We start from the raw sequence: 12,120 nt of genomic DNA on the forward strand, positions 1-12,120 counted from the left end.
TGGGTGGATAGACGGTTAGATGGATAGATGGATGGTTGGATATTGGGTGGATGGATGGATGGGTAGATGGATGGATGGTTGGATGATGGGTAGATGGTGGATGGTTGGATATTGGGTGGGTGGGTGGATGGCTGGTTGGATGATGGGTGGATGGATGGATAGATGGTTGGATGATGGGTAGATGGTGGATGGTTGGATATTGGGTGGGTGGGTGGATGGATGGTTGGATGATGGGTGGGTGGATGGATGGTTGGATATTGGGTGGATGGATGGTTGGATGATGGGTGGGTGGATGGATGGTTGGATATTGGGTGGATGGATGGTTGGATGATGGGTGGGTGGATGGATGGTTGGATGATGGGTGGGTGGGTGGATGGATGGATGATGGGTGGGTGGATGGATGGATGGTTGGATGATGGGTGGGTGGGTGGATGGTTGGATAATGGGTGGGTGGGTGGATGGATGGTTGGAGATGGGTGGGTGGATGGATGGTTGGATGATGGGTGGGTGGATGGATGGTTGGATGATGGGTCGGTGGATGGATGGTTGGATGATGGGTGGGTGGATGGATGGTTGGATGGTGGGTGGGTGGATGGATGGTTGGATGATGGGTGGGTGGGTGGATGGTTGGATGATGGGTGGGTGGGTGGATGGATGGTTGGATGATGGGTGGGTGGATGGATGGTTGGATGACGGGTGGGTGGATGGATGGTTGGATGATGGGTGGGTGGGTGGATGGATGGTTGGATGATGGGTAGGTGGGTGGATGGATGGATGAAGGGTGGGTGGATGGATAGTTGGATGGATGATGCTTTTTTGCTCTTTTTTTCTTGTGCCCTAGATGGGGAGGCTGAGGTTAAAAGCAGCAAGTTTGGTTGTGTCTGGATTGGGAGATATTCTATACTGTGTGGTTGTGAGGACACAAGCCTGGGTGTCAGAAATCCTGGACCACAGCCTGGCATATATTGGATTTAACCCTAGGAAGGTTGAGAGTGAAGGTGGCTGTCTTTTGGCAGAAAGGGCTTGTTGGGTGTTCTTTCCTGAACGCGTCAAGGAGGTGTCCCTCAACCCTGGGGTGGGGGTCAGACACAAGGTCCCCCAGAGCAATGGCCTCACTCTCTACTCTCTTAGTCCTTTCCCTCATCCCTCCTCCTACTGGGCCACGGTGTCCCCATGGGTGAGACTCACTCTACAGGGCCAGGACTTGGGCCTTCACCAGCCTGGGGCCTGGGCCACGCCCTCACCCGATGCCTGGCTGCAGCAGGGGATGGCTTCTGCATGGGGTCCAGGCACAGGACCTAGGCCAAAAGAGAGGAGTGGCCTAAAGAGGCTCAGCTTGAGAAGAGAGCCCTGCCCTGCCCCTGACAATCTAAGAGAGACTCCGCAGGCCACCTTCTCCCTCTTGACCTGGCACAGCCTTTGCCAGCGGAAATTCTTTTCAGTCCCTCTGCACAGATGGGGAAACTGTGAGGTTCAGGAAGGCTGGCTGGTCACTTGGCAGGGTCACCTTGCCCCTGCCAGCTTCCCTCCCCCAAGGCAGGGAACATAACCCCGGCTGCAAGATCATGACCACCATGTGCTGGTGGGAGCCACCGCCTTCCTGGCACCCAGCTGTACCCTCCAGTGGTGACCAGCTCCCCGGACAAAGGCACAAGCAGAGACTAAGACTCCCTGGCGGTGCCCTCCTCCTCCCTGGCGGTGCCTCTGCAAAGCCCAGCGCACTCCCCTTCCCTCCGTATCAGCTCCTGGCTGGGGAGACAGGAGATGCTGCCTAGGCCTGCATTCCTTCCCAGCTCTTATGGGGAGGGCGGGCTTCAGGCCTGGCTGGATCCAGGGCCCCAGCCACCCCCTTCTGTGTCACTGGCCCTGGCCGGAGTGGCTGTGCAGTCCCATTGGCCCACTTCACTCCCACCTGGGTTGCAGATGGTCTCTCTCCCAGAAGTCCTCAGTCCTGGGTGGAGGCTGTGTTCCCCCATCAGTGGTCAGGGGACCCCTCCACACAGCCCTCCCTCTCTTGGACTCCAGCTACCACAGCCCCCCTCATCCCATCTTTCCTGGGGTGATACAACTCTCTCTGGCCCTGGTGGTAGCGGGCCCTGTGTGAACCTCCTCCCCGCAAGTCCCCCAGGGGCACCAGCCCTTCCTGGCTGAAGACCCTTTCCCCATGTCTGCACCAGGGGACGGGGCTGGGAGCTGGCGGCGTGGAGCCGAGGCCAGGAGAGGCCAGGCAGGTGGTCCAGGCATGTCTGCCGGCATGTGAGCCCAGAGGCCTGGGGCTGGACACAGACCAGAGAGGGAGCCCGCCTGCCCACCTGTCTGCTTGCTGGAGTCAAGCCAGGCTGGCCCAGTGGGGTGGGGTGTCCTGCTGGCCCCTACCCCCATGCCCCAAGCACGGCAGCCCAGGCCCCTGTGGGTGGCCAGATTGAATCTCTTTACCCTGGCCTGAATCTCTTTACATCTGGGCCTGCTGGGTCTGGGAACAGCCTGTGCCTGCCCCTCCCACAGAACAGGGTCAGCGGGGTTGGGAAGCAGGTAAGTTCTGGTGGGTGGAGGGGCTGGACCCAGGGCTGGCTTCCGTGCCTCCAGTGGCCACCACCACCTCCCGGATCAGCCCCTGCGGTGGCAGAGGGGGCCTTTCCCCGAAGGCCAGCTGTGGTCCCTCTCAGCCTTGTCCAGGGCCCACCACAGCCACACAGAGCCTGTGCCTGCGACGGTGACCACAGGAGACTGTGACAGTGACGGTGACCACAGACAGGCCACCCAGGGCTCAGGCTGGGTATGGTGGGCTCTGGTGGGAAGCAGCTCCCGCACGGCTCACGGTGGGGAGGGTCCCTTCCGGTCCTCACCCCGCGATACCCCTTCGCAGAGCTCATGCCCCCTCGGGGCACTCTACCCACCGGGTACCTTCCCTGGGCTGCCCCACAGGTCAAGCGCTCCACCCACGCCCTCTCAGACACCAAGAGGCAGCCTGGGAGGGGCTGGGCAGGCGGGAATGGAATTTTCGGGTCTGGGCCAGGCTGTCCACAGGCCCAGGAGGGGGACCAGGCCCAGCTCCTCTTCACACTTCTCAGACCTGGGGCGACCGGAGGCTCCTGGGTATCCACCCCAGCACCCCAGACCAGGAAAGTGAGGCACAGGTGGTAGAAGACCTGCCAGAGCCGCCCAGCACCTGGGCCCACACTGCTTTCCCAGGATCAGGCTGCAGAGCCCCTGGGCGGAGTGGGAAGCACAGGGTCCCCTTAGCGTTGTTCTGTCTTTGTGGGTCCTGGGCCTGCTCCCGTGCAGACCTTCATCTGAGGGCGTGTAGTGTGTGGTGGGGAGGTGGACACAGCTGTGCCCTGACCTCAAGAGTGGCCTGACCTGGGTGCGGGGCTGGGTCTGTGTCCAAAAACAGACACAAAAGGCCACACATTATGTGATTCCATTTATGAAGTTCTAGAACAGGCCAAGCTCCTCTCCACTATTAGAAATCAGGTCTGTGGCTGCTGCGTCCGGGGTGGGGACACTGTGGGGTGGGGTGGAATGTTCTGTGGCCAGGGGTGAGGGTGCTACCTGCAGCTGGGTGGCGGGGGGGTAGAATGTTCTGTGGCCAGGGGTGAGGGTGCTGCCTGCAGCTGGGAGGGGTAGAATGTTCTGTGGCCAGGGGTGAGGGTGCTGCCTGCAGCTGGGGGCGGGGGTTGAATGTTCTATGGCCAGGGTGAGGGTACAGCCTGCAGCTGCGGGGTGGGTAGAATGTTCTGTGGCCGGGGGCGAGGGTGCTGCCTGCAGTTGGTGGGGGTAGAATGTTCTGTGGCCGGGGGCGAGGGTGCTGCCTGCAGTGGGTGGGGGTAGAATGTTCTGTGGTCAGGGGTGAGGGTGCTGCCTGCAGCTGGGGGGGTGTGGAATGTTGGAATGTTCTGTGTTGGGGATCGGAGCGCTGCCTGCAGCTGGCAGGAGGTGGAGGGGGTCTGGAATGTTCCACGTCAGGATCAGGTTTTGCTCACGTGGGTGTTCATCGAGGTGTGCGACTCAGGTGCCCGTATTGCTGTGAGACGGCTCCCACGGTGGGACATGGTGATGCCACGCTGGATGCCCCCACGTGCACCTCTTGCCGTGTGTGGGTGAAACTCCTCCCGCTGAGTGCTGGGCTCCCGGGTCTGGGTCTGGGGGTGCAGCACACGTTCATGTTCGCATTCTCAGAACACCCACTGACCCTCTCCCACCAGGCAGAGCCCACCCTCCCTGCCTTCATGTCTGCAGGGCCTGGCGCGGAGCACGAGGCCGCTGGGCACTGACTATGGAGCTCAGAGCTGTGTTGGTGGACCAGGCATCCCGTGAGGCCACGGATGGTGGCCGTGGATCTACCCTGCCTGGCCCACTTCTCCTCCACACTCCCCTTCACAGCGCATGACTAGGCAGCCAGGGCCCTGAGCCCTGCAGGAGGAGTTGAGGGGTACACACCAGGACTGGAAAGCCTGGGGCTGTTGCACAGAGATGAGCGGGGAGGCCAGGCTCCTCAGGAACTCGAGTGGAAGCCCCACCCACCAGGGCCTGCAGGGACAGGGCTGCGAGGGGACTGCCTGCAGGGCTGCTGGGAATGGGACCTGGAGCCTTGGCTGAGCAGGGCGGGGGCTCCTGCTGGCTCCTGAGCCCAGGGCCGCCCAGCTCAGCTGGGCCCAGCACTCCCTGTCCCTCAGGCCCTGCCTGATCCGGTCTCTTTATCTTGGCCGAGAGCAGCGCCCTCCCGGCCACCATCTGGGCCTGCTGGGCCAGGACCAGCTGCCTGGGGCTTTCCAGCGCTGCCTCTGCATGTTTTCTGCAGGAGGAAGAAGGAGGGTTGGGGGCAGAGTCATCCAGGGACTGAGTGGGCGGCATGGGGGGCCAGACCTGTGGTGCAGAGCTGAGCTGGAGACCCCCTCAGACCCTAGGCCCTGCTACCTTTCCCCCGGTCCCTGGGAAGCACGTTTTCCCAGTAACCTCCTGGCGTGAGAAACTTGGCCCCGGCTCGCCGATTCCCCGAGACTCACCCCACGTGCCCCATACATACAATGCGGGGACTCGGGGCTCCTGGCAGGACGGCCCACAGAGTCAGGACAGCCACCAGGGCCCCCACACAGGGGGACAGGTGGGCTGAGGGGCCCCTCTCTAATCCTAGGGTGTGGGGAGGATCTGGCCTCCCAGTCCCCAGGGCCCCTCTGCTGGAAACGGGGTGCTATGATATGAACGTGTCCCTAGATTTCACATGTTGACATTTCATCCCCAAATCCACTTTTTTTTGTTTTTAAGACAAGGTCTAGCTCAGTCGCCCAGGCTGGAGCAGAGTGGCGCAACCTCTGCTGACTGCAGCCTCGACCTCCCTGGCTCAAGCGATCCTCCCACTTCAGCCTCTCAAGTAGCTGGGACCGAAGGTGCGCCACCACGTCTGGCTAATTTTTAAGTTTTTTGTAGAGATGGGGTTTCTCCATGTTGGCCAACTGGTCTCGAACTCCTGGGCTCAAGTGATCCTCCTGCCTTGGCCTCCCAAACTGCTAGGATTACAGGCGTGAACCACCTTGCCCGGCCCTCAAATTCACATGTTGGTTGGAGGTGGGGCCTCTGGGAGGTGATTAGGGTTAGATAAGGTCCTCAGGGTTGGGCCCATGGTGGACTTGGTGGCTTTATGAGAAAAGAGAGACCTCAGCTGGCAGCTCTTGCCCTCTGCCACACTGCAACTTGGCCCCTTGACGTTGGACTTCTCAGCCTCCTGAACTGTAAGAAATAAATTTACTTTCTTTGTACATTTCCAATGTCAGGTATTCAGTTATAGCCACAGAAAGCTGACTAAGACGAAGGGGGTGAAGTTTGTGGGGGGCTTGTGCAGGGGCAGCCCAGGGTCCTCAGAGCCAACCCCAGGCAGCTCCACCCACCCCAGGGGCTCTCCTGAGGTGGGCCATTGGGGGAGCCACCTCCTAGTGTCCTCTTGGCAAACCAGAACTAGGAGTGGGCTGGGGCTGTGGGATCTCAAAGAAGGAGTGGCTGTGGGTACAGTCACCATGGTGAGGGAGCAGCAGCTGCCCAGGATGTATCAGGGAGGTTGAAACATTGTCTCCATCTCTGTGCACCGCCTGCCTAGGCGTACACATGCCAGATACATGTGAACACACAGAGGCACACACGTGTGCACACAGGCACACACAGGCACACGTGTACACACACAGGCACTCACAGGCACACCCATGCATGCACACACGCACACACGTGCACAGGTACACACATGCACACAGGCACACACAGGCACATATACACACACGCGCGCATGCACACAGGGCCTTTGCTCTGTGATACAGTCTCCCTTGTTTCTTCTGAAACATCTCCCAAGGGATGTGGACGTGTGGGCCCCGTTGGAGAGGAATGCTGGTGGAAAAAGCTATTTTGTTTTGCAGGAAATTGTCTTATTTCTTAGGTTTGTGTGGATTAACTGGGATTTGGGTTTTTTCCATCCAGCCAGCAACTGTGCACTTCAGTGGTGATCAGAGCGGGTCCCTGGCTCTGTCCCCACGGGGACTCTGCCCTGGGAGGGGGCTCAGGGTTGTAGGGATCCTCAGGCCGGACCCCGAGTTGGCTGGGAGGATGCCGATGAGCGTCTTGCCCCGTCCCTGCCTGACTCGGGACACAGAGCCCAGGGCCTGGGAGTGCTCAGGGCAGGAGACGCGGCAGATGCCAGCATGAGGACGGCCCAGCCTGGCAGACAGATGTCAGACAGAGGAAGAGGAGGCAGTCCACATGCCAGTGGGGCCAGAGGCCAGCACAGAGCACCCTTCCCATGGGGTCTGAGTCCTTGTGGGATGAAAGAACCCCACACTGGATGGTGAAGCCGGCGGGTCCTTCCGCATTCAAGGCAGGCGTCCTCTTTCTGTCGATGGGGCCCCAGGCCTGCCCTGGAGCCATCGCTGACCTCCCAAACCAGGAAAGGCCACGAGCCCAGGAGATGGGGCCGGCTGGGGGCAGGGAGGAGGAGAGGGCTGGGCTCTAAGGCCGGGCTGAGGATGTGGGCCTGGGGTCTGGGGGTTGCTGTTCCGGAGCCAGCGGAAGCCCCTGGATGAGGGGAGAACAGACTCCACCGCTGGGCGGCAAGGCGAGGCACGGGGTGGGTGGGCTGCAGGGCTGGGGCTGGGGGTCAGCTCAGGGAGCAGCAAGCAGGCTCGGGGAACCCCTTCAGAGGCACCTGGGAGTTGGGGGAGGGGGCCCATCTCATACCCACACTGTCCTGTGACCCTTCCAGGGGGGACCATCCCAGGCCTGGCAGGGGAGAGGGAGCACCGTGCCCACCCTGGCCCTGGAGGTGGTTCTGGGGCTTGGGGTAGTTTCTCTTCTGCTCTCCCCCTCCCCTCAGGCTGGACAGCGCCGGGGTTCAGCCCCCTGTGACCGTGGGGCACCCTGGGCAGACGCTCGCTGACCAGGGGCCCTGCAGGCCTGGCGCTGACCTCAGACGGGCAGGGGGTCTGTGAACCCAACGATTGCTGCCTTGGGCAGCTGTAGGCGTGGCAGTGCCCCAGGGTTCAGCACCTGCCTGACCACACGGCATCAAAGCCGCCTGTCCTCCCCAGCCCCCGCACAACCTGCCACTCCCTGCTCGGCAGAGGAAGGAGACTCGGGCCACACCCAGGGAGGGACCTCCTCTGGCTCGACATGGAAACCTAGGCTGTAGCTCCCTGCTTCCCCGGCTGTGTTTGTGTGGCCTGGTGGCTGAATCTGCACAGAGAGCAGGACGCCAGGTGCGCTCCCGGGAAGCTGTCCTAGAGAGGGGCCGGACCGCACACCTGGCGCTGGAAGCCTCCATGACTGGATGTTTGCAAGAAACAGAAAGAAACTTCTGTCCAGTCTCAGCCACAGGCACGCCAGGTCCTCTGCTGCCTTGCCGCAAGCTCGGGGGTTTCAGTGAGACCCTCTCCCACTCCCACGGCCTCGAGTGGACCAGGTAGCCCTGGTGTTGCTCCCTGGGTGCTCTTGACCCCCCAAGGCGGCTACAGGAAGGAGAAAGGCCTATCTTGAAAGGACTGGAAAACAGTGCGTCAGTATTTTAAAAATTAAGCTACACCATCATAGGACCTGGCTATTGCCTTCCTGGGTATTTACCCAAAAGAGATATAGCACACACCCACGCACGATGCGTGTGCCCACGGCGGCTTTATCTGTAATGGCCCCAAACTGGAAACACCCCCAGGTCCACCCACAGGTGAAGGAGAACAAATCGTGATGTATCTGTGCAACGCGACACTGCCCAGCAGTGAACGAAGGAGCTACTGATGCTCTCAACAACCTGCAAGCCCCAAAATAACCGCGTGGGGCAGAGGGCGGAGGGCGGAGGGCGGAGGGCGGAGGGCGTCAGGCAGCGAGAAAGGTGGTGCACGTGGACTGGACGCGAAGCCCCAGAAAGCCAGGCTCATCTCCAGCGACGGAAACACAGCAGTGGCCTGGGGGCAGGGGAGGTGGTGGAAAGAGGAGGGAGGGAGGGACTCCAGGGGGGCTCAGGGAATCTTTAGGGCGACCAACACAGCTGCCCCCTGATTGCAATGATAGTTTCGTGGGTGTGTGCGTCAAACCATATCGCAGAGGCCGGGCGCGGTGGCTCACGCCTGTAATCCCAGCGCTTTGGGAGGCAGAGGCGGGCGGATCACCTGAGGTCGGGAGTTCAAGACCAGCCTGGCCAACATGGAGAAACCCCGTCTCTACTAAAAGATACAAAAATTAGCCAGGTGTGGTGGCGGGTATCTGTAGTCCCAGCTACTCAGGAGGCTGAGGCAGGAGAATCACTTGAACCCAGGAGGCGGAGGTTGCGGTGAGCCCAGATCCCACCACTGCACTCCAGCCTGGCGACAAGAGCAAAACTCCATCTCAAAAAAAAAAAAAAAAAAACCATTTCGCAGAGAAGGACGCAGAAGCCAATGGAAAAGCTGCCAGTAGCTGCAGCTGGCCTGATGTGAGCCACAAAACCGGATGTGACAGTAGGGTGTGAGCCAAAGTGTAAAACACCTGAGGTCCACACGGATGTCAGTGAAGGGCTGTGCCCACCCATGGGAGAGCAGAGACAAATGATCTCGGTGCAGCAAAGTTGCAAATGTGTGTGGATTCCCCTTCCGGGGGAGGTGAGGGCCACACACAGGGACTTCATCCAGAGAGGACAGTTCAAAAAGAAAAAGACGGAGAGGTGCAGGGTTAGGGTGGGGGAACCTCAGCCAGGTGACCAAGGTCAACATGGGCAGTGAAGGTCGCGCTGATGGTGTCCCCCATGTGATGTGGTGGGAGGAAGCCCCGCCCCCATTCTCTTCCTCCCGACCATCACCGGATTCAGCGTGAGAAACTCAGCAGACGGAGCCCAACTGAGGGACGCCCCACAAACACCCGAGCAGCGCCCCTCAAGGCTGCTGAGGTCATCAAGGACCGGGAAAAGCTGAGAAACGTCACTCAGGAGGAGCCCGTGGAAGAGAGACAGAATGTCACGTGGTGTCCTGGAGAGAAAGGGACCTTCAGTAACTAAGGGAATCTGGAGAAAGCCTGGATGTCAGCTGACTCGACGTCCCAACACTGGCTCACTGATTGTGACAAAGGGACCATGAGAATTAGGACGCCAGCGAGAGGGAAACTGGGGGAGGGGCACGCAGGAACTCCCTGATCTGTCTTCACATTTTTTTTCTGTAAATATAAAACATTCTACACTGGGTGCAGTGGCTCATGCCTGTAATCCCAGCACTTTGGGAGGCTGAGGCAGGCAGATCACCTGAGGTCAGCAGTTTGAGACCATCCTGGCCAACATAGAGAAACCACGTCTCTACTAAAAATACAAAAATTAGCCAGGCATGGTGGCAGGTGCCTGTAATCCCAGCTACTCAAGAGGCTGAGGCAGGGGAATCACTTGAACCCGGGAGGGGAGGTTGCAGTGAGCTGAGATCGCACCACTGCGCTCCAGCCTGGGCAACACAGCAAGACTCCGTCTCTCTCTCTCTCTCTCTCTCTCTCTCTCTCTCTCTCTCTCTCTCTATATATATATATATATATATATATATATATATATATATATATATTTCTAAAGTAACTGTTTTTTTTTTTTAATTTTTATTTATTTATTTATTTTTGAGACAGAGTTTTGCTCTTGTTGCCCAGGCTGGAGTGCAATGGTGCGATTTTGGCTCACTGCAACCTCTGCCTCCTGGGTTCAAGCGATTCTCCTGCCTCAGCCTCCCGAGTAGCTGGGATTACAGGCACCCGCCATCTATGTCCGGCTAATTTGTGTATTTTAGTAGAGACGGGGTTTCACCATGTTGGCCAGGCTGGTCTTGAACTCCTGACCTCATGTGATCCACCTGCCTTGGCTTCCCAAAGTGCTGGGATTACAGGCGTGAACCACTGCGCCCGGCCCTATGTTAGTTTTTTATAGTTTTAAACTATATTAGTTTTTTCCAAGAGTCAGCTTTTGACTTGGATCTTCCTATTACATCTTTGTTTCTGTTTGTTTTTGTTTGTTTGTTTTTTGAGAGAGTCTCACTCTGTCACCCAAGTTGGAGTGTAGTGGCTCGATCTCGGCTCACTGCAAGCTCCACCTCCCGGGTTCACGCCATTCTCCTGCCTCAGCCTCCCAAGTAGCTGGGACTACAGGCGTCTACCACCCCTGAACCCGGAAGTTGCAGTGAGCCAAGATCATGCCACTGCACTCCAGCCTGGGCGACAGTGGAAGATACTATATCCAAAAAATAATAATAATAATAAAAGTTTACATTCAATAAATAAAATTTTTAAAAGGATATTTACATCAGTGTAGTATGTGAAGTAAACAAGAAAAAGATAAAACTCACTTTTTAAGTAAAAACAATGAGTCATGTTCTTGAAGTATGTTGTAATCTTTAAATATCAGAAAATTAAGGGAAGTTAATTTTTATTATTACTATTATTTTTTTTTGAGACACAGTCTTGCTGTCGCCTAGGCTGGAGTGCAGTGGTACGCTCTCCGCTCACTGCAAGCTCTGCCTCCCAGGTTCACGTCATTCTCCTGCCTCAGCCTCCCGAGTAGCTGGGACTACAGGTGTCCGCCACCACGCCCAGCTAATTTTTTGTATTTTTAGTAGAGACGGGGTTTCACCATGTTAGCCAGGATGGTCTCAATCTCCTGACCTCGTGATGTGCCTGTCTCAGCCTCCCAAAGTGCTGAGATTACAGGCATGAGCCACCGCACCCGGCCCCTATTACATCTTTGTTTCTATTTGTTTAATTCTCGGTCTGGTGAGGGTCAGCCCCCACCAAGGGTCCTGGCAGTTTCCCTTCTAGGCTCGCCCCTCCCCTGCCCACGCCCCGGCAGCCCTCACCCCAGCGTGGCTGGGCGGGTGGGGGAGGGGCTTCTTCCTGGGAGGGAGGGGCCCCTGAGCCCCCTGCACACCAGCCGGGCCCCATCTGTGACCTCTTTGCCACGCCTCTAATACCGCTCGCTTGCTCAGAGGGCACATGGCCGGGGGGTCCTTGGGAGTCTGTGCAAAGCCTTAGTCACATGGAGGGACCTGAGGGAGGCTGGATGTGGAGGAGACAGTGAGAGAAGGTGAGGTCCCCGTGTCATGTCACCCACCACCTGCCGGCCACCAGGTTCCTGCCTGGGACAGCTGAGCCCTGACAGCCCTCGGCGAGGAGGCCCGGGCTCTCTAGCAACCTGGCTGCAGCTCCTGACACAGGCTGGGCTGCCCTTGGCCCAGGGCCCTCCAGAGATAACCCAAGTGCCCTGTGAGCAGGCCTGAGGGAGGGTGGGTAGCCCAGGACAGGGCACCTGGGGGTGAGGCAGAGACCAAAGACCCACAAGATGCTCCCCAATGCAGGCTGAGCTCCAGGGAGCTGCTGGGATCCTGGAAGAGGACAGAGGCCCCCCAAGGCCTTAGAGGAACCCAGAGACTGCTGGGCCCAGTGGGAGGTGTCTGGACCCTCCAGCCTGCGCCCACGTCCTCTGGCCCACCTGCCCATCGTGCCTCTGCCAACGGGCCCAGAGCTGACGCACCCCCACAGCCCAGCGCCCGGGTCACCAAGTCCTGAACTCAGAAATGCACATATTCCCTGGGACCCCTGAGAATTGGGCTGTGGCCAGGCCAAGGCCAAGGTCCTCTGGGGAAGCCCCAGCTAAGGTCAGCA

The 12,120-nt window shown here is 58.8% G+C and overlaps 3 annotated features.

Annotated features, from left to right (window-relative positions):
* Positions 1,980-2,480: an enhancer, noted in NCBI's record as "H3K4me1 hESC enhancer chr9:139853309-139853809 (GRCh37/hg19 assembly coordinates)". NCBI's record gives its function as "activates a minimal SCP1, AML or CMV promoter by ChIP-STARR-seq in naive H9 embryonic stem cells {active_cell/tissue: H9 hESC(naive)}" and the evidence as "EXISTENCE:reporter gene assay evidence [ECO:0000049][PMID:30033119]".
* Positions 11,090-11,591: an enhancer, noted in NCBI's record as "H3K4me1 hESC enhancer chr9:139862419-139862920 (GRCh37/hg19 assembly coordinates)". NCBI's record gives its function as "activates a minimal SCP1, AML or CMV promoter by ChIP-STARR-seq in primed H9 embryonic stem cells {active_cell/tissue: H9 hESC(primed)}" and the evidence as "EXISTENCE:reporter gene assay evidence [ECO:0000049][PMID:30033119]".
* Positions 11,592-12,091: an enhancer, noted in NCBI's record as "H3K4me1 hESC enhancer chr9:139862921-139863420 (GRCh37/hg19 assembly coordinates)". NCBI's record gives its function as "activates a minimal SCP1, AML or CMV promoter by ChIP-STARR-seq in primed H9 embryonic stem cells {active_cell/tissue: H9 hESC(primed)}" and the evidence as "EXISTENCE:reporter gene assay evidence [ECO:0000049][PMID:30033119]".

This window comes from Homo sapiens, chromosome 9, assembly GCF_000001405.40.
Source record: "Homo sapiens chromosome 9, GRCh38.p14 Primary Assembly".
Lineage (NCBI taxonomy): Eukaryota > Metazoa > Chordata > Mammalia > Primates > Hominidae > Homo > Homo sapiens.